The sequence below is a fragment of the Homo sapiens genome, chromosome 22, assembly GCF_000001405.40.
Source record: "Homo sapiens chromosome 22, GRCh38.p14 Primary Assembly".
Classification (NCBI taxonomy): Eukaryota; Metazoa; Chordata; class Mammalia; order Primates; family Hominidae; genus Homo; species Homo sapiens.
Window position 1 is genome coordinate 39,130,425 of NC_000022.11, and position 23,089 is coordinate 39,153,513.

Here is a 23,089-nt window from a genome sequence, read left to right on the forward strand (position 1 = left end):
GCACATATACATCCAGATGGCCTGCAGGTCCATTATGGCTTGTTCCTGCCCTGCCCCAACTGATCGACCTGGTGACCTTCTTCCGGACAATGAGTATTATGATCTCCCCAACAGGCACCTTGTGACCCCCTCCCCTGCTGACAATAGCTAACCACCTTTCACTGTAACTTTCCACTGCTTACCCCAGTCCTATAAAACTGCCCCACCCCTATCTCCCTTGGCTGACTCTTTTTGGACTCAGCCCACTTGCACCCAAGTGAAATAAACAGCCTTGTTGCTCGCACAAAGTCTGTTGGTGGACGGATGCACTTGACAACCACCAGAAGGAATAATCAAATGCCCAGGAATTTTCTTTTTTTTAAATCATCTTTAATGTATTTTTAATAATTTTTTTGCCTCATTTACCAGATAAATCATCTAAATAAATAGATGCTATACAGTCTCTTACCAATGTCAGTACAAAAATAAAACCGCGCTCTACATCCACTCTGACTCTCCCAGCACACACACACTCAGCAAAGGCATGTGCTTGGAATCAACTCGTGCCCCCGACCCCTCCCAGATACATTCATTTAGTCTGAACAAAGCTCGAAGCTCATTCTGTGCAAAGGAAGCGCTCTTGTGCTGAGACCTGGTGGCCGCAGCTGGCCACTTCGAAAGCAAAAGCTAAACCACCTCACAGAAGCACAGCGCCTGCCCCCAGAACAAGGGGACAGGAGGAGCTTGGCAACGAGGTCATCACCCGAACAGCAGTGACAGTCCTGCATTCCAGGCGGCTGTGCCAGGGGTGGGGGTACCTCCTCCGCACCCCCCACCACAAAAGGAAAAGTGCCCACGGGTCTCTACATTCAAAGCGGGTGGGGGCTGGGGGAAAGAAAGGCAGATGGGCAAATGCTTTCTAAACCCTCCCCCCACCCCCAAGAGTACTGGCCTTTTAAGAGGGCTGCGGGGGTGGAGGTCACTGTCTGCCTTGCTCTACTGGGCCACTCTGGGCTGGAAGGAGGCCTGCACGGCCACAGCCGTAGGTGACCTCATAGAGGTCACCTGTCCTGGAGGATGGTCCTAACGGCCCACAGCCTTTTCCCCCAGGGAGCTGGCTCACTACAGCCCATGAGCCACCTGGCTGCCCTGAGCTGGGCACCTCAGGCCCACCCGTCCCAGGTCACACCCCTGGAGTTCAGCTCTCCCTGAGCCACGGAGTTCCCCATGGGCCATAAAGGGCTGAGTAAGAGGAAAGATGTGTCCTGCTGCTGCAGACAAAAGCAACTGCAGCACCCACACAGAAAGCCCCGTGAATCCACAGACCCACAGATTGCGCAAATAGTTCTTTGAAAGTGACCAGGAAGCAGGAAAAAGGTCCTATGTCCCCTGGGGGATGGGGAGCGTGACTTCTGCTGGAAGCTGCCAGCCATGTTCCAAAGTCATGGGCCAAAACATTCAACTAGAGACCCCCCACAACCCTCTATCATCTTTACCTCCGCTGGGCACCCCTCTCCTGGAAGAGTCCCCTCTGAACCCCAAGCTTCCCCTTCCCCTCCACAGGGCTCCACAGCTGGAGATGGGTGGTGATTCCTGCCGCTCCTTGTCCAGACCCACCCCACGTATTCCTCTAGATTCCATTCCCTGGGCTGGAGGTGAATCAGGTCATCCCGGAGGGGACTGTCCCCCAATGGAAGCACTGAATTGACCGTGGACAACTAAAGATCGAGGAGGAAGGAAAGAGAGACTCAGGGATCTGGGAAGCCTGTCAACAGAGCACCCCATGCAGAAAGGGCTGCAGGCTGTCTTTGGTTTGGGAACCAGGGAAGAAGGGATTTGGGGAAAGAATCACCCTCTCCTTGCCTCAGTAGACTCTGTGACTTCCTGAGGACACAGAGCAGAGCTGCGAGGAGGGCGGGCAGGTCTCAAACTTGCTGGCCGCACTCCACTCTTGGTGTGTGTTACCCTGACTCTGACAGCCAAGGAAAGACAGGGGAGCCGGCCTTTTCCATGCTCCCCTTGGGCCCCCCAATCTGGTTTTGTCTCCCCTACAGGACTGGAAGAGAGGGAGAAGTCACTCCTCACTGGCAGGGAAGCCACGGGCCCCCAGGACACCTTGTACAAACCAGAAAACAAGTGCACCTTGCCAGGGGTGGGCTGGGGCAAAGCCTGCCCATCACACAGCACAGCCTGACCTCAGAGAGGCACGGCAGAGGTCCCTCCACAGGAATACAGCTCAGCCCCAGCTGTGGCATTTAGGTTGGATGGGGAGGGGATGCAGAATGGAAGGAGGAAGGGGCTTAGGAGTCAAGGGCTGCCCTGAGAACGTGGTGGGACACTCCCTCCCTCCCTGACTGCCCACACCTGGGTTGGCTGAGTTGGAGGGGAGGGCAGAAAAAGAGGGGAATTGGAAGGGCTGAAAAGTCACCTGAGTCAGAAAGAACAAGAACCCCTCACGGGAGGAAGGACAGGGTCCAGACGTCTCAAAGCCTGTGCTGATACATCACACAACTTAGCAGACGCCTGCACACCCGCAGCCTGGCCCGGTGCAGCCGAGAAACCACATCTGTATGCCTGGAGCATGGGGTGCCATCGCACCTGTGCCAGACCCCTGCCCTCCACTGAAAGCCGCAAGCAGGTAGCAAGGTGCATGCAAGGTGGGGTGAGTGCAGGTGTGGTGGTGAGGTCTTTTGTGCTGTGAATCACCCCACGTTCGCCTGGCCAGGGTTTCTAACCCAGGTTCGCAAGGCCCATGTGGACACGTCTGCAGCCACACATGCTTTCACGGGGCACATGGGAACGTACACGCGAAGGGTAATGCGTGCACACCTGTGCAGCCAGGTGTGCATGAGCGTTTCTGCACAGGCCAGGTGATGAGGGGAGGGCAGAGCTCTCAGCAGAAGGGTCTCAGCGGCGCCTCCTCCCTGGGAAGGATAGAAGCCTCTCTGAAGGGGAAGGGACTCGCCCCAAGTAACCTCAACCCTTCCTCCTGCCCCTTCCTCCCGCCCCACTCACTTTTGGTCAAAACCAGCCTCCACAGCCCACCGCAAAGCCAGAGAGGAGAGTTCAAGGTAAAGACCCAATTGAAACAAGAGAAAAGGGGAAAACCAGCCAACCAGGCTGGGGTGGCCACTCAAGGGAGAGGGTTTGGGCCTTCCAATGCTCCTTTAACTCCCAGAACCAGCTGCTGCGTCACTAGAGGAGAATGATAATGGTGGTGTCCCGGGCAGGTGATCCTGTCCCCATCCTGCCCTGGGGGTGGTACCCCAACTCCCAGAGCAACTCTCTCCATCCCCAGCCTGAGGCCTCGTGGTAAACGTCCCTCAGAGAAAGGGCAGGTGGTGGGAGAGTAGTGGGATCTTCTCCCCTTTTGCTGCTCGGTATTTTTTTAAATAAAATAATTACCCCGCCCCCAACCCATCCCTATCTCTGGAAGTCCCACCCCAAGCCCAAAAGAAAACAGTTTAAGAAGAGTAAAAACGGTGATTCAGAACTTCCCACTGCGGTCTCGGAAGAAGCCCTCAGCTGCCTGGGCCTCGCGGAAGGTGACGGTGATGGAGTTGGCGGTGATGTCGGTCACGGTCACCTCACTTGAGGGGAGCGCAGGTGTCCAGGGAGGGGGCCCCTCGGCCAGGTCGGCATCTGCTGCAGCGTCAGACACACAGATGGGGGCAGCGTTGACAAGGTGGGAAGCCATGCAGACCACCCAACCCGACCCCAACTCCAGCTCCTCCTCTCTGTGTCTTCAGTCAGCTCAGGGCCTCACACAGGGCTGGACACTTGGGAGGAGGGCACTGGGTGCATCCTCCCCACCTAGACAAGAGCTCAGCCAGAGCGGGACGACAGGAGGAGCCCTGGGCTAGTGTTGGGCCCTGAGCCCAGACCCGACTGGCCCCACAAAGCACTACAGGCCCTCTTTGGACATTGAACCAGCTGGACCTTATGACCCATAGGGCCCTTTCCAGCTCTGAGGGTCTCTGGGCTGGGGCCGCCTTACCCTCCTCTTCAGGGGGCTGCGCAGCAGGCTCCCACTCGCCAGCCGCCTGCAGGACGTCTGGGGCCGGTGGCTCCTGCAGGAAGAGCTCCCGTCGATGGCTGTGGCTCTCCAGGTTGGGCCCGCGGGGCGGGAACTTCTTGCGCGAGAGCCGCAGGTACTTGTGGGCCTTTCGGGGCTTGCGGAGCGGGAAGGGCAGGGTGGGCACCAAGGGGCCCTTGTCCACCAGCTCAGGTGCCCCCGCCTTGACCACCCCCTCAGGGCTCCCGCTGCCGAGTGGGCACGTCAGGGAGAAGCAGAGCTTCTCCTTGCCCTTGGCCTTGTGGGAGCTCCGCAGGTCCATGCTGTACAGCCGCTGCGGGGGCAAGCCAGGGCAGCGCGGGTCAGCCCCACCCTCCCACCCGCCACACCTTTGCTCATGCTGTTCCTCCCACCCGGAATGCCCTTCCCATGCCATGTCTACCCACTCAACTCCTTCCCATGCCACGGCTGGCCATCACCCCACCCCACCCCAGCCCAGAGAGTGCGCCCCGGGCAACCCCAGGGTCGGCCAGCTCAGCCCTGCCTCTGGGCCCCACAGAGCACTCGCGTCCCAGCGTTTACTCCTTTGATACCCAGCAGAGAAGCATACAAGAAGGACAAACTGAAAACTGGCCAAGAGAAACAAATCTGGATGCATTAAGGAGTTAGCCTTCGTTTTAGGAAAGGCATCTTTGCTTGCCAGAGCACCTCCAAAACTGACACTGCCAGCTCACCCGGGAGATGGTGCAGGCAGAGGGCCAAGGTGTGCTCTTGGAGTTGCTTGGGGCAAAGCCAGGCCAGCAGCACACACAGCCCCGGATGCCCATGCTATCCAGCCAAAGGGACAGGGCTCCACCTGGCCTGCAGATGCACCCCGACCCCTCCAGGGGGCTCCTGGGCTCTGTGATTGCAGCCCGCTCTGCTGATTGCCCGCGACACATCTGGAGCTGGAGGGCAAGTCTGTCCACCCCTGGAGTTTGTAATGTCGGGATTTATCTTATTTACTTGGGGAGAATTTACATGAATCTACAAAAGATTCATGGTGCCAAGATGTTGGGAGACTCTGGATCACTGGGACAGTACCTTCTCCTGCCACCTGCTACCAGAGGTCAGGAGCTCCCAGGAAGATAGTGCAGCCATCAGATGGGACCTGTGAGGTCAAACACCTCCAAGCTGAGGGAAGGGATGACACACGCAGGTCCCACTCACAGTCGTGCCTGTTAACGGCATCACATGTCCCCAGGTGCCGGCTGCTGCAGTGATGGGAGGAGGGCTAAACTGGGAGGGGACTGGGAAAATACTGCAGTGCCTGGGAGGCACATCTGGTAGGCAGCTGACTCAAAACCCACTCCTCCCAGCGGGCTCACAGGCCATCAGAAGCCTAGTATGGGCCAGGCACAGTGGCTCACGCCTGTAATCCCAACACTTTAGGAGGCCGAGGCAGCTGGATCACCAGAGGTCAGGAGTTCAAGGCCAGCCTGGCCAACATGGCGAAACCCCATCTCTACTAAAAATACAAAAATTAGCCGGGTGTGGTGGCAGGTGCCTGTAATCCCAGCTACTTGGGAGGCTAAGGCAGGACAATCATTTGAACCCAGAAGGCAGAGCTTGCAGTGAGCAGAGATCGCACCACTGTATTCCAGCCTGGGCGACAGAGCGAGACTCTGTCTGGGAAAAAAAAAAAAAAAAAAAAAGAAGCCCAGTACATTCTACCATTCTGCAAGGCAGGGTCTTCTACGTCCTTGGCAACCTCATCACGAGAGAACTACAGCTACTAAAGGGACGCGGGTGCCAACAGTCAGGTCCTGGGTAAGCTACCGGCCTCCCTGGGCCTCAGTTTCTTTCTCAGCGAAACAATGAAGAGACTGTAGGAGCCAGCCTCCGAGGAGGGCCCCAACCACACCCACCTCCTGGAATTCACACCTATGCGCCGTCCATTCCCACACCCAGTGCTGTGTTGTGTGACTTCCCAGGCTAGGGCATAAAAGACACTGTGGCTTCTTCCCTGCTCTCTCTCTCAGGTCACCCACTCTGGGAAGCTGGTGGCTGCACTGTAAGGACACTCAAGCAACCCTCTGGAGAGGTCCACATGGTGAGGACCAGTCCCTGTCAACGTCCAGCCCTGACTCGATGGCACGTGAGCAGCCCCCTCGGAGGCAGATCCCGCAGCCCTGGTCGAGCCTGCAGATGACTGCAGCCCAGCCAACACCTTGACTGCAGCCCAGACTAGAACCACTGAAGAACCAGCTAGCACAATTCCAAATTCCTGACCCCCAGAAGCCATGTGAAATAATCAATGTTTATTGCTTTGAGTTGCCATGTTAGAGGGGAAGAGATAACGAACACACCTGCCCTGTAGGCTTAGTATGTGGATGGAGTATATTCATCTGTGAGGCACACTGGGCAGACAGCCTGGCACACAGACGTCCAGGAGATGTTACTTCCCTTCCTAGGCTCAATTCATGCCAAACCCAATGGAACATGCCCACTGCATGAAGGGAGGCCCACCCCCTCTGGCGAAAGCCTCCATGGGTTTTAATCAGGAGTGGCCAAGGACGCTTGACATGGACCACATACAAGTGGACCAAGAATCCTGACTTTCTGGCTTCCAATATCCTGCCTGGTGGGTCTTATTACATTAAGGAGAGCGGGTATTCTCTTCATACCCATTTTACAGGTGAAGAGGCTTACCTACAACCACACACAGGCAGAGCATTCCTTATCCGAAATGCTTGGAACCAGAAGTGTTTCAGACTTCGAATTTTTTTAGGATTTTGGAATATTTGCATTATATATACTAGCTGAGCATCCCCAATCCAAAAATCTGAAATTTAGACTGCTCCAATGAACACTTCCTTTGAACATCATTTTGGTGCTCAAAATGTTTTGGATTCTGGAGCATTTCAGATCTTGTTTTTCTTGTTGGGGTGGGGGGGCGGGGCGGCAGGGGACGGAGTTTCACTCTTATCACCCAGGCTGGAGTGCAATGGTATGATCTTGGCTCCCTGCAACCTCCACCTCCCGGGCTCAAGTGACTGTCCTGTCTCAGCCCCCTGAGTAGCTGGGATTACAGGTGCCCGCCACCATCCCCAGCTAATTTTTGTATTTTTAGTAGAGACAGGTTTTCACCATGTTGGCCAGGCTGGTTTTGAACTTCTGACCTCAGGTGATCCACCCGCCTCGGCCTCCCAAAGTGTTGGGATTACAGGCATGAGCCACCGCACATGGCAGCATTTTGGATTTTGGATCAGGGAGACTCAACCTGTGACTGCACTGCTCCAAGATCCACGTCCCTGTCACTGCAAAGCACTGAGGTCAGGAAAGGCCCCCAAGACCTACGACGTGGGTACTCCGGGATGCTGCAGAGACTTGGGTCCCCAACTGACTGAAGGCTGGAACAGGAGGCCCACTCAAAAATGACACACTTCTAGGGGTCTGACATTCCAAGGCTGTAGTTCTACAATTCTAAGATTCTGTTTCTGGCTGGGCGCGGTGGCTCACGCCTGTAATCCCAGCACTTTGGGAGGCCAAGCCGGGCGGATCATGAGGTCAGGAGATCGAGACCATCCTGGCCAACACGGTGAAACCCCGTCTCTGCTAAAAATACAAAAATTTAGCCAGGCGTGGTGGCGGGCGCCTGTAGTCCCAGCTACTGGGGAGGCTGAGGCAGGAGAATGGCGTGAACCCGGGAGGTGGAGCTTGCAGTGAGCCAAGATCGCGCGCCACTGCACTCCAGCCTGAGCGACAGAGCGAGACTCCGTCTCAAAAAAAAAAAAAAAAAAAAGATTCTGTTTCTTAGATTCTGAAACTCCAGCCTCTCATGTTTCCTCAATTCTCAAGTTTATGTTTCTGAGATTCTCAGTGATAATTTTGTGTTTAGGGATTCTGAGCATCGAAAGGCTCAAAGCTTTCAGGGCTTCCTTACAGCAAGATTCTAAGCTTTGAGAATTCTAGGATTCCACTGGCCATATGCCTACTCCCCCTCCCAGGTGGCACCGCCCACCCAGGCTGTCTTCCCCGGGCACCAGCCCCACACGCAGGCTTTTCCCAATTCCTCCCATCAAAACTTACCCAAGTGCCCCACCCCACAGTGCCCTGGGTGGTACAGGCGAGGGGACACAGATCAGCTCAATCAGCCAGTGCAAATGCACCAAGGGGCAGAGGGGGACTTGGGGTTGGGCAGGGGGAGAAAGGAGGCACAAAGGCAGGCTGGTTACCTGCAGCAGAAGCCGCTTGGGTTTCGGACCTCTCTTCCTATACCCCGATGCTCGGTCTCTCTCCTCCCTGGGGTGTGAAGCAGGTGGCAGAAGAAAAGGAAACACTGGTGACATCTAAGGGAAGGGAAGGCATCCGCTTCGCCCGCCCTCTGCTGTCTGTCAGGGAGGGGACACTCCCCACAGGCCTGCCCACCAATCCTCCCCATTGCCTGGCTGGGGCCATAACAACGGGGTCAGATGTTCAACTCCCAGGGCCAAGGTCTTCCCATCTGACAAACGTGGAGGGCAACTGCTGAGGGGGGACTTGCAGCATCTCCAAAAACAGTGGGTCCTTAAGGGGCTCCAGGGCCATGTGCGGGCTCTGCTCTACGTGCTCCTAAGGACCCCCTAAAAACGTGGCTCAGTTTTTCCTCCTAGGGGAGTGATACAGAAGCCTGTCAATCCAATTTACCTTGAATGTCCCAGGAGAGCTGATGGGAATGGCTAGTCCCTCTGCAAGTAAAGCTCTGCACAGACTCCCCCGAATTTGGGATCTCTGTGAACCTGGGAGAGCGGACCGGCTCCTACCCTGTCTGTCCCATCTTGTCGGGGGACAGGATGAAAACCAGCCTGTTCTGAGTGCCCAGCAGATGCCTTCCCATGTATCAAAAACACAAAGCACAACTCAGGCCGGGTGCGGTGGCTCACGCCTGTAATCCCAGCAGTTTGGGAGGCTGAGGTGGGTGGATCACTTAAGCTCAGGAGTTTGAGACCAGCCTGGGTGACATGGCAAAACCCCATTTACCAGCCAGGCACGGTGGCTCACGCCCGTAATCCCAGCACTTTGGGAGGCTGAGGCGGGCAGATTACAAGGTCAGGAGATCGAGACCATCCAGGCTAACACAGTGAAACCCTGTCTCTACTAAAAATACAAAAAAATTAGCCGGGCATGGTGGCGGGCACCTGTAGTCCCAGCTACTCGGGAGGCTGAGGCAGGAGAATGGTGTGAACCTGGGAGGCGGAGCTTGCAGTGAGCCGAGATCGCGCCACTGCACTCCAGCCTGGGCAACAGAGCGAGACTCCATCTCAAAAAAAAAAAAAAAAAAAGAAAGAAAGAAAAAGAAAAAAAAACAAACAAAAAACCCCATTTACCAAAAATACAAAAATTAGCCAGGCACGGTGGCATACACCTGTAGTCCCAACTATTCAGGAGGCTGAGGCAGGAGAATTGCTTGAGCCTGGGAGGCAGAGGTTGTAGTGAGCCAAGATCGCACCACTGCACTCCAGCCTGGGAGACAGGGTGAGACCCTGTCTCAAAAAACAAAAAAAAGCACAACTTGACAATGCCACGAAGCTACACATGACACATAAGACAACACAACCAGAGACTCCAAACAACTGCCAAAAGTAATGAGGAGATTCAGTCATTTCATCCTGCCTCCCACTTCAGTTCTTTCCATCCACACTCTCTGCAGCCCCCAGTACAGAGGTCACGTGGACAACAGAAAGAATGTGGAGGCCTCGTGTGACCTTGGGCCAGGCTCTTACTCTGAGCTTAGCACATACCAATGAACCCCACGGCACCTATTGCAAATGTCTGACCATCCACTGAGCATCCATCCCCAGCAGGACACCAACGGACCAAAGGGAAAGTGTCCCTGGTGGAGGACTAGAATCCGGGCCTTTGATACCTGTCCACTGCTCTCCTTACCACGCTCCATGGGATTCCCAAGTGTCGCACCCTGTTGGACCAAGGCCCCACCACACACCTGGGAGGCAGAAAGAAACCCTGGGATGGGGACACCCTGATTTTAAAAGGAAAGAACAATAAAATTTGTCTTTTGAATCCATGGCAGGAAATCTCCTGGAGAAGGAGCCAGAAGAACCCAGCAGCGAGGGGCAGTGGAAAAGCCCCCACCTGGAGGTGGCAGCCCTGGCCAGGTCCTTGCTCTGGGCTCCAGGTAAGAGCCTCAGTTTCCTTCTCTGTCAAACAAAACCCTCATTCCTGCCTCAGGAGGTTGCCATAGGGGCCAAATACAAATGATTTTGTGAAATGGTCCCAAGCCGCACAAGGCAGGCGGGCTGGGAGAGGCAGGGGACCTGGGCTGCCTGCTGGTGGGGGGGGCGGCCAGAGAGGGCACACAGAACTGTTAGGGTGTGCCCAGCTTCCCTGAGGGGCCCTGGCAGAGGTGGGAGACTGTGCCTGGGCCACTTGGACAGGAGGTGGCAGGGGGACAGGCCAGAACTCAGAAATCCCAGCCCCAAAGCCCACGCTCCTGCCCAGCCTTCCTTGAGCTTCGTCAGACACTCCTTCCTGCCCTAAGAGGTCCTCTAGAGACACCGTCTCTGATCTGTCACCCCCGCACAACTGGCAGTGCCGCCTCCTAGCACACAGGGCATCTTTGTGAAGCATTTTAACATTCTTCACTGGAACAGAAACCTCTTACGGCCCCTCTGAGGTTTCACCCTGGGAAATGGGTGTACTCTTCAGGGTGGCCCATTTGACAGCAGAGAGACTGAGGCCCGGGTGGGTAAAGGAAGTGACCGAGATCACCCAACAACAGGAAAGGGCCCCAGGGTCCTCAGCTGCCCTGGGACTCAGTGCCCACCATTTTCACCCAGCTGCAGGCTGGGCTGGCCTGCCCCATCGGACACCCCTGCCCTGCCCCAACAACCCCTGCCAAGCCAGCAGCAGGCTCCTGGGAAGCCTCTGAGCCGGCCCTAAGCCCCACCCGGCGGTGCCGAGGACACCGTACTTCTCCTCGTAGGCCATGACGAGGCGGGGGTCCAAGATGTGCTCTTCTGGCTCCCACGTGCTGTACCTGGGGAGAGGAATGAAAGGTCAGAGTTGGGGCTGGGCGCGGTGGCTCATGCCTGTAATCCCAGCACTTTGGGAGGCCGAGGCGGGCAAATCACCTGAGGTCAGGAGTTCAAGACCAGCCTGGCCAACATGGCAAAACCCCATCTCTACTAAAAATACAAAAATTAGCCGGGCGTGGTGGTGCATGCCTGTAATCCCAGCTACTCAGGAGGCTGAGACAGGAGAATTGCTTGAACCCAAGAGGCAGACGTTGCAGTGAGCCAAGATGACACCATTGCACTCCAGCCTGGGTGACAGAGTAAGACTCTAAAAAAAAAAAAAAAAGGTCAGAGCCATCGCTTCTACTGGGCAGGTGCACCAGCAGAGGCCACTGCTGCTGACCCAGTGCCCACTGCAAGTGTGCCTTCACCCTGTCCTGGTAAGGTGTCATTGTCACCTACTTCAAGGACAGACCCAGCCTGGGCCTCCTGAGGGCTCCAGCAACACCAGAGTTGTCCTGGTTCATATCACTCTACAATGTGACTGGGTCCAACTCCTTGTTAGACTCCACAATCACTAGAGACCCTCGGGTGCCAGGAGGAGAGAGGGCGCCTGTAAGCCCCACACCAGGCAAGAGAGGATGAAAAGGAGCCAGGGCTCTGGGGACAGGCTCACGGCCTGGGTTCAAGTCCATCTCTGCCCCTAGCTAGCTGTGCGACCTTGAGCAACTTCCTGAACAGCTCTGTGCCTCAATGTCCCCCTCTGTAAAGGACTCTTGTGCTGATGAGATGTGTATTCCAAGTGTTTAGAGGGTGTTACAAGAGTAACAGCGTGCCTGATGTGTCGTCAGCGCACTGTGTTTGCTGCTGTTGCTGTTCCTCCCCGCCCTCCAAACCCCATCCCCATCCCCAGCATAGTCTCCCTCTTCAGTGCACCCCACCCAGGCCACAGCCAGGTCTGAAGTTCCCTTGTCTCTGGGCCTGGTACACAGCAGGTATTTGGTAAATGTCTAGTGGCTGAATGGTTCAGCAGGCCTAGCGCAGGCCCCCGGGTAATGCTACAGGGGATCTTCTACCCTCGCCACCCAGCCAGGGAGCACCCTCCTGCTGGGGCAGACCCTGTGATGTCAGCGCAGCGGCTCCAGAGCTCACCTATCTGTGGAACCACCGTGGTGACACCCACCACACCCTCGTTCCACTAGCACTCCTGTTTACTTCGTATCTGCCTTTAGAGGAGCTTTTTTGGTTTAAATTATTTTAAAAGCAAACTATGACTTCCATAAATGGAAAAACCAGTATCACTCACCATCGACGCAAACATAAAAACTTTTCCATTAAAAACAATATATGTACAGTCAAGTGCCGAATAACATTTCTGTCCGTGACGGCCTGCGCATGTAATGGTGGACCCATAAAATTACAACGGAACTGAAAAATTCCTGTCATCTAGTGACGTCTTGATGATCCTGACCCTGTGTAGGCCTAGGCCAATGTGTGTGTTTGTGTCTTAGGTTTCAAAAACAAAGCTTTAAGGCCAGTGTCTTAGGTTTTAAAAACAAAGCTTTAAGGCTGGGCACAGTGGCTCACGCCTGTAATTCCAGCACTTTGGGTGGCCAGATCACTTGAGGTCAGGAGTTTGAGACAAGCCTGGCCAACGTGGAGAAACCCCATCTCTACTAAAAATACAAAAATTAGCCAGACATGCTGGCGGGCGCCTGTAATCCCAGCTACTCGGGAGGCTGAGGTGGGAGAATCGCTTGAACCTGGGAGGCAGAGGTTGCAGTGAGCCGAGATCGTACCACTGCACTCCATCCTGGATGGCAGAGCAAGACTCCAGCTCAAAAACAATGAAAATAAAAATATAAATTTTATTTTAAAATTAAAAAAAACTTTAAAAGTAAAATAAATTAAACTTTTTTAAATAGAAGAAAGCTTATAGAATATAAAACAAATATTTTGTACAGCCATACATGTTTATGTTTTAAGCTAAGTGTTACTACAAAAAGAGACAAAAAGGTTTAAAAAGTTAAGTTTATAAAGTAAGAAAGTTACTATAAGCTCAGGTTAATTTATTACTGAAGAAAAATATTTCTGTATAAATTAGTGTAGCCTAAGTGTTCAATGTGAAAAATATTTCTGCATAAGTTAGTGTAGCGTAAGTGTACAATGTTGACAATAGACCAGGTCTTCATATTCCACTCATCGACAGTGAGTGACATGTGTCTGGGTGACAGAGCAACTTCCAGCCCCGCAATCTCTGTGCCTGGGAAGTGCTCTAGAAGGTGTCCCAGGTTTTATCTTTTACACTGTATTCTTACTGCACCTTTTCTACGTTTGGATGTATTCAGTAGTCACACGCTGTGCATGCTTGTAGCCTGGGAGCAGCAGACTCTATTACACAGCCCAGGCGTGCAGTGGGTTGTACCATCTAGGTGTGCCTAAGGTCACTCTGATGTTCGTACAATGAAATCACCTAACAATGCATTTCTCAAAATGTATCCTTGTCATTAACCGACGTGTGACTGTGTATAAAACATACAGACAAAAGCAAAGCGATGCCCTATGGTCCTGGCCAGAGGCTCTGCTAGGTAAGACGGAAGGCAATGGGCGTTAGCGAGGGGTTAAAAGGCAGAAAGAGCCTGGGAGAGCCCCTGCCCTGCCGCCTCCCAATCCCTAGAGCTGAGGCCTCTACCTTACAGTATCCCGGGAACTACCTAACGCTAGTTCAGTCCCAAAATGCTGCCCAACGACAGAATGCTCGCCTCCTTGCTTCCTCTAACACTCTGGCACACCCACTTGGTGTCGGGCCTCTATGGGCTCGCAGTGAAGCCCTGAGCCTGGGCTGCCCCTTCCCATGTGCCCCCTGCCAGCCGGCCCTCCCTCCCTTTGGGTGCCCCATCCCTCCAGTCAACTCCTAGCCGACCCTTAAGAGTCAGGTATTTGTAGCCTTCCCTGACATCCCTCCCAGGCTGTCCCACTGCCAGCAGGACGAGCCTGCCCCTCCTCCACCCTCCTTACAGCTATACCTAGCCTTGGCCATAATCACTAATGGACCAGGAAACACCCTGGCGCGCAGAGCCACCGCAAAGTGGCCCGCTCAGGCCCGCCCGGGGCTCTGGGAAGGGCTGGGGAGCCCCTGCAGAATGCCGAAAGCGAAACTACAGCAGAAGCCACGAGAGGCTGGCAGACACTCTAACCCTTCCTCCCCCCGGAAAAGGCTGAATCTCCTCACTCTAACTGGTAGGAAGGGGAATTTCGTGCTCCTCTCTCCACAGCGTGCTCCTCCACACCGCCCTGCCCATTGCTTGCTGATGTCCCTGCTGTGTGGATCCTGGCAGGTCCCAACCCTTCTCTGAACTTCAGTTTCCTCATCTCAAGAATAATGACCACTACAGTAACAGCAGGTGTGCGGCCGGGACCGCCAGGACCGCACCCATCCTCAAAAGGCGCTGGCGAGGTAGGTGCTTAGTTCTTACCCCCATTTTACAGATGGAGAAACTGAGACACGGAGGTTGGGCAGCCAGCCCAGCGTCACTGAGCCAGTCAGTGGCCGGCCCGTGTTGGCTCTCGGCCACACTCCGCCTTCAGGCTCCTCCCAGGCCACCGCGTCTGGGACCCCCGACTGTGCAGCCCGCGGGAGGGGGCGTCGCCCCCTCTCCAGTCCTCAGTGTCCGACCGCAGGGCGCGGCGCACAGTGAGCGCCCCGAAAGGCTCGGCTGGATGCAGAAGGGGTGGTTGCCGGCCCGGGCAGCTGGGTCTGAGATAACAGGGTCGCACTTGGCTGCCGAGTGCAGCCCCAAGTGGGGGGCAGGGGCGGCACCAGCATCTTAATTGTTTGGACCCAGCCGGTAAGGAGGACGCCGCGCCGCACCGCGCCGCGCCCTCCGCAGTGCAGGAGCCCAGAGGCGCCAAGGGGAACGCGCTTCCGAAGAGCCGGGCGCTGGCAACCCAGGAGCGCGCCACTAGCGTGGGCGCCGCGGATCGAAGGGATTAGACCCCACGACCATCGGAGACCCTCGGGTGCCTGGAGGAAAGCGGGCTCCCGCAAGTCCCAGGACACCCTTCCCACACCAGGGGAGGGAGAGTGGAAAGGAGCCAGGGCTCTGGGGACACGCTCGTTGCCTGGGCTGCGCGGACCGCGGCGTGGACACCGGGGGACTGCGGGGGTCTGCACTGGGCTCGCGGCGCCGGCGGGGCGGGAACCGATCACCCCGTGGGAGGGGGCGGAGCGCCAGGCCCCGCCCCCGCCGGCCGCGCGCACGCACGCACGGGGAGGGGCGCGCGCCGGGATTACCGGCAAACCGAGGGGGCGGGGGCGGGGGCGGGGACAGGGACGGCGCGCGCCGGCTCCGAGATAAACACGGCCACGTGACCTCCCCGCCCCGCCCCACGGCCGGGTAAACAAGCCCCGGCCGCCCAGCCAAAGCCCCGCCGCGCAGGGCTCGCCCTGCTGCGGTGAGGGCACGCAGTGGGAAGGGGCGCAGCGGGTGCAGGACCCCCGCCGGCCTTTCCCGGGGGGTCGGGGGAAGCGGGGTTTGGAGGCGCTGCTGAGCTGTGACGCAGGCGGCCTTGGGGCAGGTGGAACCACCCGGAACCCCGCAGAGCCAGGCCAACCCCCAAGCCCCAGTCCCCACTCCGATTTAAAGCTGCTGCACAGAAGACACAGCACGGGCTCTGGTCCAGACTGCGGGGTGCGGCCTCGTTCAGGAGACGCCACCGCTCTGGGGCCTCATCCTAAAGTGGGCCCACCAGTAACCCCAGTCGTATAGGGCTGTAGTGAAGATTAGATGTGTTAAGCCACGGAAAGCATTTCGATCAGTGTGGTACACAGTGAAGGCAAATAAGCCTGAGTTAAATCAATGAAAAGCCCAGGGAGCGTAAAAGTCTGCGGCTCCTAACTCCAGTCTCCCCAGCCTGGGTGGAGACAGCTCCCACTCTGCCCCTGGCAGGGTGTTAATGAATCTTGTCTTGTCTCAGGCAATCTTCAGCAGGGCCCTGTGAGGTTAGGGCCTCATTTTTATAGGTGGGGAAAGTGAGGCACAGAGAGGTTGAGGGCTTTGCCCTGGGTCACACAGCTGTAAACCTTCAGAGGTGGAAAGCCTCAGCACTTCTCACTGAACTGGCCAAAAGGCCAGCAGGCAAGAGTCCTAGTCATCTCTAGTGGAGTTGCCTGTGTATCAGGCAGCCCGTAGTTCACATCTGCCCAGCTCTATGACCCTGGGCAAGGCCTCATTTGCTGTAGGCTTCTGTCTCTCCATCTGTAAAATGGGTTGCTATGAGTGGTTCAAAGAGTCAATGCCTGATTCATAATAGGGGCTTATTGACAGCCTGGCCATGGCTGTGACCACTGACATCATTCCTAAAACTCCATAGGGCCACTCCTTCCAAAACGATGGAGAACCATTCACAAGTGGGGAAGAGAGGAAGTCATTCTGGAAGGGGGAACAGCAGGGCCCTGGACAGGCTGAAATGTTATCTGGAGGCCTCAGGCACAGCTGGCACCTGTACCTGATAATGTCACATTCCCTGTCCCGGGCCCCGAGCCCCTCCCTGTGCCATTTGCTGTGCTTTCCAGAAGAAGCAAGAGAGCCCCTCTGCCACACTTGTTTGCTGGGGAGATAAAACAGGCAAGGCATGTAGTGGTTTAGCCTAGGCCTGGCACAAAGTGTCCACTTTTTTTTTTTTTTTTTTTTTTTTTTTTTTTGTGGGGGACGGCGTCTCACTGTGTTGCCCAGGCTGGAGTGCAGTGGCACGATTCTCCTGTCTCAGCCTCCCAAGTAGCTGGGATTACAGGCGCACATCACCATGCCTGGCTAATTTTTTATGCTTTTGGTAGAGACGGGGTTTTTGCCATGTTGGCCAGGCTGGTCTGGAACTCCTGACCTCAAGTGATCCGCCCACCTCAGTCTCCCAAAATGCTGGGATTACGGGCATGAACCACCATGCCCATCCTAGAGTGTCCATTTAAATCATGGTTCCTGTTACTGTTACTGAGAAGAATGTAAGTCTCCCCACCTACAGGGCAGATGCTGAGCAGGAGAATCACTACCCCACCCAGGCCGGCACTGCCCAGCCAAGGCTCCCAGGCCTGGAGGACACAGCCTGCCTAACTCCCCACCCCCCACCCTCTTTCTCAGCTTTTTCTCCAAGCAGGGCCCCCGAGGAGGGGAAGACAGAGCTGGCTCCCCTGCTTCTCCCCCAGAGTGAACCTCTGTTTCCCCCAAGTGAGGTGGGGATGGTTAGCAGCCATACCTGCCTCACTCCCAGACCGTGGTGGCACTGTGGATGGCATGAAGTGGGCACCACAGTGCATGGGGTTGGCAGTTATATTTTTTTAAGGACCAACCCTCTCTGGGCCTCAGTTTCCCCATCTGAAAAATCAGAGGACTGGCCTAAATGATTTCTAAGGATACTTTGCACTCCTGAGAAGAATGGAATCCCTTAGGTCCCTTTCCTGACTGGGGAAAACAAAAAGAACAGCTAGGCTATCTATCTAACTTAATCTTAAAACCAAATGTTTACTAAAGCACTTGGACTGGGCTGAACATGCATTCGCTCAATTACATCCACCCTCTCACCCTCACAGTAGCCTGCAAAGGAGGCTTCACCATCTCAACTCGAAGATGAGGAAGCAGAGACCCAGCCATGGTGGGGCCCTGTCCCAGGGCTCATGCCTGTCGGGTGGGCAGCCAGGCCTAGAACCCAGGACCAAAGTGGAGGGGGGTGAGAAGAGGCAGCCATGAGGGCCCATCTGGTGGCCTCAGCATGTTAAGAAACAAATGGGTCCCCAGGCTAGGGGCACAGCGCAACAGAAGCATCGAGGGCCTCTGCTCTGGGAGCCTCGTTCCTTCCCTCCTGACGAGCTGCAGTGGGCAGATGGATTCACATCCAGGATCAATCAAAGTGGGGGAAGGAACTTTTCATTCATAACGGCCTCTGTTTACAGAAGAGAATCTTCCAAAGAGTGGAGTCTCCAGAGGAGGAAAAATAGCCAATAGTGTCCTGAAGGCTAACAGCTGGTGGCCACAGCTTCCTGGTGCGAAGCGAGAGAGGCAGGGGTGTGCGCGCCCAGGGAGGCGGTGCTCCTGCTGCCCACTCTGGGCATCGTCACTCCCTTTACTGCCCCCTTCACTCAGGCTGGAAGCCCACCTTCTAGCAGCTGGGTGTGGCGGGGGAGGGATTCTCCTTCAGCCCTCAGAATATTCGGGAAGGGAGAACTGAAGTGGGGGTTGGTGTGAGGGGTGGAGTGTATTCTCGGCCTGCCAGCTCCCAACCCCTGTCATCAGGATATCCACAGGTCACCCAGAACATGTGCCCAGGCCTTTCATCCGATAGGGCCACCAAGCCTGTGAGATGAGTGCAGGGCCTGGGTTTCTGAACCCATTTTGCAGAGAGGGAAGCTGAGGCACTGTGGGCTGTCTTCCTCTCTGCTGTCTCTCCCCACCATCACCCCAGAATGCCCACAGGACCCCATACCAGGTCAGCCCCCACCAGCACAGCAAAAAGTCCCTGCCCGACAGCAGCAGCTCTGGGCAGAGGGGGTTTCCAGGACTCAGTCTCCGGGAGGCGGGGCAGGGGGTGGGGCACCCACAGACCAATGGGGAGGCCCCACGACTAGCTCATTCCCTCCCAACAACTCCCTGCTGGAGGGCATTGGTGGGTTCCTGATGGGGCCTCAGCAGGAGAGGTGGAGAAGCTGGGAGGTCTCAGATACAGCTCCCTGCCTCCCAACTCCGAGATGGGAGGCTGGGAAGGCACAGAGGAGACACCTGAAAAGGAGAAGGCCTAGTTCAAGTCCCAACTCTGCCTCCACTTGCTGTGTGACCTAAGGCAAGCTGCTTACCCTCTCTGAGCCTGTTTCCTCACCTTGAGAGCGCCTGATCACACCTACCTTACAAAGCTGTATGGGAACCTGCTCTATAGACTGGAAAGTGCCGTCTAGAGGTGAGGGGGATTCAGGCTCTGCCCCTGGCCACACAGCACTGAGGACTCATGCAGCACTGTGCTTAAAGCAGCTGGGGTCCCCTCCTCCTGTCCAGCAGCCATCTCCAGTAGCCCGGATGCTGGGCCTTCACCTCCCAGTTGCCAAGAAAAGCCACAGGGAGGGGAGGAGGGAGAGCAGAAGCTCCAACTAGCAGAGGAGCTCAACACTCAGGAGGGCAGGGTGAGAAGAGAAGCTGGAGACCCACCTTGACCCTCCTGTGGTCCAGGGGGAAACTGAGGCCCAGAGAAGATGATGATTAAATCAAGGTCAGCTGTCCAGTTACAAGAGTAGCTGGAGCTAAAAGCTAGGCAGGGGAGGGGGCAAAAGGCAGGTGGAGGAATGCATGGGTCGGTAGGCAGACAGACAGACACACACACATGAAGGAGCTTACTTTGGGGGCCATCCTTTCCACTTCACCAGATACTCGACTTTACCCTGAGAAGAGAGAGAAGCAGACACAGTGAGTCTCGTGGTTGCCCCTACAGCCACTCGGAAGGACAGTTAAGGCCCAAAGGAGCCCAGCTCCAAATCCCATCTGCAGACAGGTGTCTCCCCAACACACAAACACAATCCGGGGACTGTCCACCAGATCCTCGCCAACCCATATAACCGCGACTGCTGCATGCCCGCCCCATACTGCCCTCCCTAGGACAGCACAGGAGTGCGTCTGGCTCCAGCCACCTCTGAGGCTCCTGAGGCCCAAGCCCAGGGCTCATGTCACACACTGGGAGCTGAGACTGCATGGAGGTGTGCATGCGTGGCCAAAGACCCACAGTGTCTAGAGCCCCAGTGCACAGGTGGGAACGCTTACTTTCTTTTTTAGATTGGAAGAGTCTCCAAATACGAAAACATTCCTCTCTGGGGTAGTCCCCACGCTCCTCCCCCATCTGCTGAGTCCCCTTTCAGTCTGTGAGTGGCTGCCTCTGGCTCAGAGGTAATGGGCCAGTGACTTGAGGACTCTCAACTCAAAAGACCCTGGCAGGACCCCATGGAAGACTGGCAAAGTCTCCACCTTCAGAAGGGGTGGTCAGCCCTGTGGTTGTTAGAAAGTAGAGCCAGGCCCCTCCCTTCCTCACAGGCTTTAAAAGTTTACAGTTACGGTGGCTCAAGCCTGTCATCCCAACACTTTGGAAGGCTGAGGCTGGAAGATCGCTTGAGCCCAGGAAGGAGTTTGAGACAAGCCTGGGCAACACGGTGAGACCCCTGTCTCTGAAAAAAGGAAATTAGTTGGGCATGGTGGCACTTGTCTGTGGTCCCAGCTACACAGGAGGCTGAGGCAGGAGGATCGTTTGAGCCGGGGAGGTTGAGGCTGCAGTGAGCCATGTTCATGCCCCTGCACTGCAGCCTGGGTGACAGAGTGAGATCTTGGTGCCAAGAAAAAAAAAAGTTTACAGTCCAACCCCATTGTGAGTGAAGCCCCTGCACGCCAGAACTTTAAGACCAAAATATGATACCTCCTCACAGAGGCTTTCCCTGGTGACCCTCTCCCATGCTGTCTCCACTGGCACCTTGCAGTTCTATTTCTGCAGAGCACACAGCTCCATCTGAAGGCATCTGTCTGTATCTCCTCATTCACTGTGTGCCGCCTCTGCAGAATGCCAGCTCCCTGAGGGAAGGGGTGGATCCCTGGGGCTTAGACTGGTGCCTGGTACCTGACCAACCCTCAATAAATATTTTGAGTGACTGGCCGAAGGAATGATGATCTCGCCCTCTTGTGCTACCCTGCGGGCTCCATCGTAGAGGGAGTTAGTGCTGTGCCTGCTTCAGGCTACACAGCACGAAAAGCACTGAGCTTTGTGGAATAAATCAATTCTCTTTTAAGTGGAGAAAACCCTAGGAAAAAGGAGAAGGAGGAGGAACAGCTGCCTCAATCAGAAGAGTAAAACCCCAAGCACAGCTGGAGGAAGAAAAGATGCTCCTGACCACCTTGACCTTCACCCTTGGCCCGAGATGCCAGGACTGAGTTTTCTCTATGGAGAAAGAAGATGGGCTGCCAATCAGCCCAGTTGAGCTCCTGCTCTACCTCCCTATCTAACTTGCTCGGTGACCTTGAGCAGGTCACTTCCTCTGCCTGGGCCTCAGTTTTTGTCTCTGTTAAATGGGAGGAGGTGACCCCCTAAGGCCCCTCCCAGTCGGCCTGGAGCCTCCCAAAGGGCTGCAGGGAGGAGGAGACAAAGGAAGGACAGTAGTGCGTACCAGGAAAGGAACTTCTCCCCAAGGATTTCCCCAGCCTTAGGCGAGCCCCCTCGCCAAACAAGTGCACGGGAGGTGTAGACGCCAGGCCCGGACAAAGTCTAGCCCCAAAGTGTGGGGTTCTGAAACCAGCAGAACAGACACCTCCTTAAATTGCAGGGTGTATGTTTTGAAGAAGGCAGATGGGGTAGGAGACTAGGGGATGCCCCAGCGCAGGGGGCGGGCTTCAGAGCCCTGGCCTGGGCTAGGAGTTGAGGTGGGGGTGGGGGCGGGGAATAGGGATGTGCTCGGGTGGCGTAGAGGGGGCAGGATCGGAAAAGGCCAAAGTCCAGCAGGAAAAACTTCAGAGGCCGGAGGAGACTTTTCCAAAGCTCCACTTACAACTTGAAAGGATTTGGTGCCAAGCGTCCAGAGTCCCGAGTTCAAAACCCAGCTCTGACCATAACGCGCTAGGCAAGTCCTTTCAACTTGGGCCTCAGTCTCCCCATATTTACAATAAAAGGGGAGCGAGGTGGGATGGCGCTGAGGATCCCTACGTCCGATCCTAATCTCCAGCTCAGGCAGGCTCGGCCGCCACTAGCATCCTGGAGCGACAACTTTTGTTCTACTCGCCCTACACGGTGGCAGGGAAACTGAGGCACGGGCTGGGGAGACGGGCCCAGCAGCGCAGGGCTGCCGGGGCCCCCGCGCCCCGCTTTCCCCTTCAGCCCCAGCGTGGAGGGAGCGGTGCTGGGGACGGGAGGGACCCCACTGGGGTCCTGGGAGCCGCCCCCGGGCAGCCTCACCTTCCGCACGCGCTTCTTCCGGATGCTCTCCACGGCGAACACCTGCTCGCCGATGGCTGACAGCTCCATGCGGGGCGGCGGGCGAGCGGGCCCGGGGCCGGGCCGGGCCGGGGGCGGAGCTGCGGGGCCGCGGCTGCGGCGCGCGATGCTGGGGCTGGCGGGGTCCCCGTCACCCTCGTCCGGGCGCGCACGCGCACGCGCACGCGCGCACACCCCCTCGCGCTCCCTCACGCCGCCGACGTTCCATTTTTGAACCTGCGCAACGTTTTCCTCGGCGCCAGCGAGCGAGCGCGCGCAAGGAGGGGGCGGGGCGGGAGCGCGCGGAACGGCCGCGGGCTCGGCTCGCGCCCTGAGGGTCAGCTCCGCCCCCGAGCCCCGCCCCCATCGGAACCCCGCCCCCGGGGCCCGCCCCCGCGGGTTGCGATTGGGCCGCGGGCCGCGAGCCGCGAGCGCTGCCGTGGGACTTATTTGGCTCGGTCACCGGCTGGGGCGGGGCGGAGGCTCGCGCGCCCCGTCTTGCTGTGACGCCGGGGCGGGACGTGATCCTTAATACCCAGGCGGGCGCCTCATAGCCTCCCGGTGACTGCCAGGGGCCGAAGTGGCAGGGCCCAGTGGAGCCGACGACAAAGTCAAGGCTCAGAGCGGGGAGGCCATTTGCTCACCTCCCGCAGCGGAGGAGACTGGGCCCGAGGCGCAGCCCCTCGAGTTGCAGGAGAGCCGGGACCCAAAAGGCTTCCCACCGTGTCCGGACGTCGCAGGGCCGAGGTCTCCCTAATCCGGCCTTCTCCGCGGCGCAGTTTGGCCAGTGTCTCCACGTCCGTCCACCCACCCCTCCATCCGCCCTTCCATTTGTCCATCCACCCGACCCTCGGTGGTCGGTGCCCAGACGCACGGGTCAGACGCGGGCGCTGCCTCGAGGGCTCCCGGGCCGGGCCCTCGTTCGCGGCAGGAGCGGCCGCGGTGGAGCTGAGGTCCCCCGGGGACGGATTTTGCCGCCGCGCTGCCCCAGCCTTCCCCAAACCCGCGTGTACTGGGCGCTAGGTGCTTAGTGGGGGCTCAACCATTTGTGGCACGAGACGAACTCTTGATTCCCCACCCCCCTTCCTTTTTCGCTAACGCGCCTCCATTCCTCACTGGG

General features: G+C 56.8%; 1 protein-coding gene across 3 annotated transcripts, besides 17 other annotated features; it reads right to left on the reverse strand.

Moving 5' to 3' along the window:
- CBX7 (chromobox 7) lies at positions 348 to 22,256 on the reverse strand. Of its 3 annotated transcripts, none has more exons than NM_001346744.2 (6): positions 21,952 to 22,256; positions 19,365 to 19,408; positions 10,947 to 11,012; positions 8,212 to 8,278; positions 3,977 to 4,049; positions 348 to 3,624 (listed from the first exon to the last, which is right to left on the reverse strand). In NM_001346744.2, the coding sequence occupies exons 1-6, from the start codon at positions 22,018 to 22,020 to the stop codon at positions 3,467 to 3,469; spliced, it is 477 nt and encodes a 158-aa protein (NP_001333673.1). In that variant the 5' UTR covers positions 22,021 to 22,256; the 3' UTR covers positions 348 to 3,466. The 3 variants fall into 3 exon arrangements, with proteins under 3 accessions (NP_001333673.1, NP_001333672.1, NP_783640.1); NM_001346743.2 differs by having other exon boundaries at positions 348 to 3,621; positions 3,977 to 4,328; NM_175709.5 differs by having other exon boundaries at positions 3,977 to 4,328.
- Positions 1,002 to 1,563: an enhancer, noted in NCBI's record as "H3K4me1 hESC enhancer chr22:39527431-39527992 (GRCh37/hg19 assembly coordinates)". NCBI's record gives its function as "activates a minimal SCP1, AML or CMV promoter by ChIP-STARR-seq in primed H9 embryonic stem cells {active_cell/tissue: H9 hESC(primed)}" and the evidence as "EXISTENCE:reporter gene assay evidence [ECO:0000049][PMID:30033119]".
- Positions 3,203 to 3,887: an enhancer, noted in NCBI's record as "H3K4me1 hESC enhancer chr22:39529632-39530316 (GRCh37/hg19 assembly coordinates)". NCBI's record gives its function as "activates a minimal SCP1, AML or CMV promoter by ChIP-STARR-seq in naive H9 embryonic stem cells {active_cell/tissue: H9 hESC(naive)}" and the evidence as "EXISTENCE:reporter gene assay evidence [ECO:0000049][PMID:30033119]".
- Positions 3,888 to 4,571: an enhancer, noted in NCBI's record as "H3K4me1 hESC enhancer chr22:39530317-39531000 (GRCh37/hg19 assembly coordinates)". NCBI's record gives its function as "activates a minimal SCP1, AML or CMV promoter by ChIP-STARR-seq in naive H9 embryonic stem cells {active_cell/tissue: H9 hESC(naive)}" and the evidence as "EXISTENCE:reporter gene assay evidence [ECO:0000049][PMID:30033119]".
- Positions 4,678 to 5,655: an enhancer, noted in NCBI's record as "H3K4me1 hESC enhancer chr22:39531107-39532084 (GRCh37/hg19 assembly coordinates)". NCBI's record gives its function as "activates a minimal SCP1, AML or CMV promoter by ChIP-STARR-seq in naive H9 embryonic stem cells {active_cell/tissue: H9 hESC(naive)}" and the evidence as "EXISTENCE:reporter gene assay evidence [ECO:0000049][PMID:30033119]".
- Positions 14,287 to 14,356: an enhancer, noted in NCBI's record as "active region_19033". NCBI's record gives its function as "activates an Ori minimal core promoter by ATAC-STARR-seq in GM12878 lymphoblastoid cells {active_cell/tissue: GM12878}" and the evidence as "EXISTENCE:reporter gene assay evidence [ECO:0000049][PMID:35858748]".
- Positions 14,287 to 15,316: a biological region, named in NCBI's record as "H3K4me1 hESC enhancer GRCh37_chr22:39540727-39541516".
- Positions 14,298 to 15,087: an enhancer, noted in NCBI's record as "H3K4me1 hESC enhancer chr22:39540727-39541516 (GRCh37/hg19 assembly coordinates)". NCBI's record gives its function as "activates a minimal SCP1, AML or CMV promoter by ChIP-STARR-seq in primed H9 embryonic stem cells {active_cell/tissue: H9 hESC(primed)}" and the evidence as "EXISTENCE:reporter gene assay evidence [ECO:0000049][PMID:30033119]".
- Positions 15,027 to 15,316: a silencer, noted in NCBI's record as "silent region_13743". NCBI's record gives its function as "represses an Ori minimal core promoter by ATAC-STARR-seq in GM12878 lymphoblastoid cells {active_cell/tissue: GM12878}" and the evidence as "EXISTENCE:reporter gene assay evidence [ECO:0000049][PMID:35858748]".
- Positions 15,437 to 15,676: a silencer, noted in NCBI's record as "silent region_13744". NCBI's record gives its function as "represses an Ori minimal core promoter by ATAC-STARR-seq in GM12878 lymphoblastoid cells {active_cell/tissue: GM12878}" and the evidence as "EXISTENCE:reporter gene assay evidence [ECO:0000049][PMID:35858748]".
- Positions 17,601 to 18,199: an enhancer, noted in NCBI's record as "H3K4me1 hESC enhancer chr22:39544030-39544628 (GRCh37/hg19 assembly coordinates)". NCBI's record gives its function as "activates a minimal SCP1, AML or CMV promoter by ChIP-STARR-seq in primed H9 embryonic stem cells {active_cell/tissue: H9 hESC(primed)}" and the evidence as "EXISTENCE:reporter gene assay evidence [ECO:0000049][PMID:30033119]".
- Positions 18,200 to 18,798: an enhancer, noted in NCBI's record as "H3K4me1 hESC enhancer chr22:39544629-39545227 (GRCh37/hg19 assembly coordinates)". NCBI's record gives its function as "activates a minimal SCP1, AML or CMV promoter by ChIP-STARR-seq in primed H9 embryonic stem cells {active_cell/tissue: H9 hESC(primed)}" and the evidence as "EXISTENCE:reporter gene assay evidence [ECO:0000049][PMID:30033119]".
- Positions 18,280 to 18,419: an enhancer, noted in NCBI's record as "active region_19034". NCBI's record gives its function as "activates an Ori minimal core promoter by ATAC-STARR-seq in GM12878 lymphoblastoid cells {active_cell/tissue: GM12878}" and the evidence as "EXISTENCE:reporter gene assay evidence [ECO:0000049][PMID:35858748]".
- Positions 18,460 to 18,754: an enhancer, noted in NCBI's record as "tiled region #533; HepG2 Activating DNase unmatched - State 9:DNaseU, and K562 Activating non-DNase unmatched - State 23:Low". NCBI's record gives its function as "activates a minimal TATA promoter and a strong SV40 promoter by Sharpr-MPRA in HepG2 and K562 cells {active_cell/tissue: HepG2 | K562}" and the evidence as "EXISTENCE:reporter gene assay evidence [ECO:0000049][PMID:27701403]".
- Positions 21,834 to 22,415: an enhancer, noted in NCBI's record as "H3K4me1 hESC enhancer chr22:39548263-39548844 (GRCh37/hg19 assembly coordinates)". NCBI's record gives its function as "activates a minimal SCP1, AML or CMV promoter by ChIP-STARR-seq in naive H9 embryonic stem cells {active_cell/tissue: H9 hESC(naive)}" and the evidence as "EXISTENCE:reporter gene assay evidence [ECO:0000049][PMID:30033119]".
- Positions 21,834 to 22,562: a biological region, named in NCBI's record as "H3K4me1 hESC enhancer GRCh37_chr22:39548263-39548844".
- Positions 21,873 to 21,922: a silencer, noted in NCBI's record as "silent region_13745". NCBI's record gives its function as "represses an Ori minimal core promoter by ATAC-STARR-seq in GM12878 lymphoblastoid cells {active_cell/tissue: GM12878}" and the evidence as "EXISTENCE:reporter gene assay evidence [ECO:0000049][PMID:35858748]".
- Positions 21,993 to 22,562: a silencer, noted in NCBI's record as "silent region_13746". NCBI's record gives its function as "represses an Ori minimal core promoter by ATAC-STARR-seq in GM12878 lymphoblastoid cells {active_cell/tissue: GM12878}" and the evidence as "EXISTENCE:reporter gene assay evidence [ECO:0000049][PMID:35858748]".

Coding starts and splice junctions, on each gene's coding strand:
- CBX7 (NM_175709.5), bottom strand. CDS start 22,020: ATGGAGCTGTCAGCCATCGGCGAGCAGGTGTTCGCCGTGGAGAGCATC. Junction 11,013..19,364: donor TGGAAAGGATGGCCCCCAAA/GTAAGCTCCTTC, acceptor TCCTCTCCCCAG/GTACAGCACGTGGGAGCCAG. Junction 3,625..3,976: donor GCAGCCCCCTGAAGAGGAGG/GTAAGGCGGCCC, acceptor CTGACGCTGCAG/CAGATGCCGACCTGGCCGAG.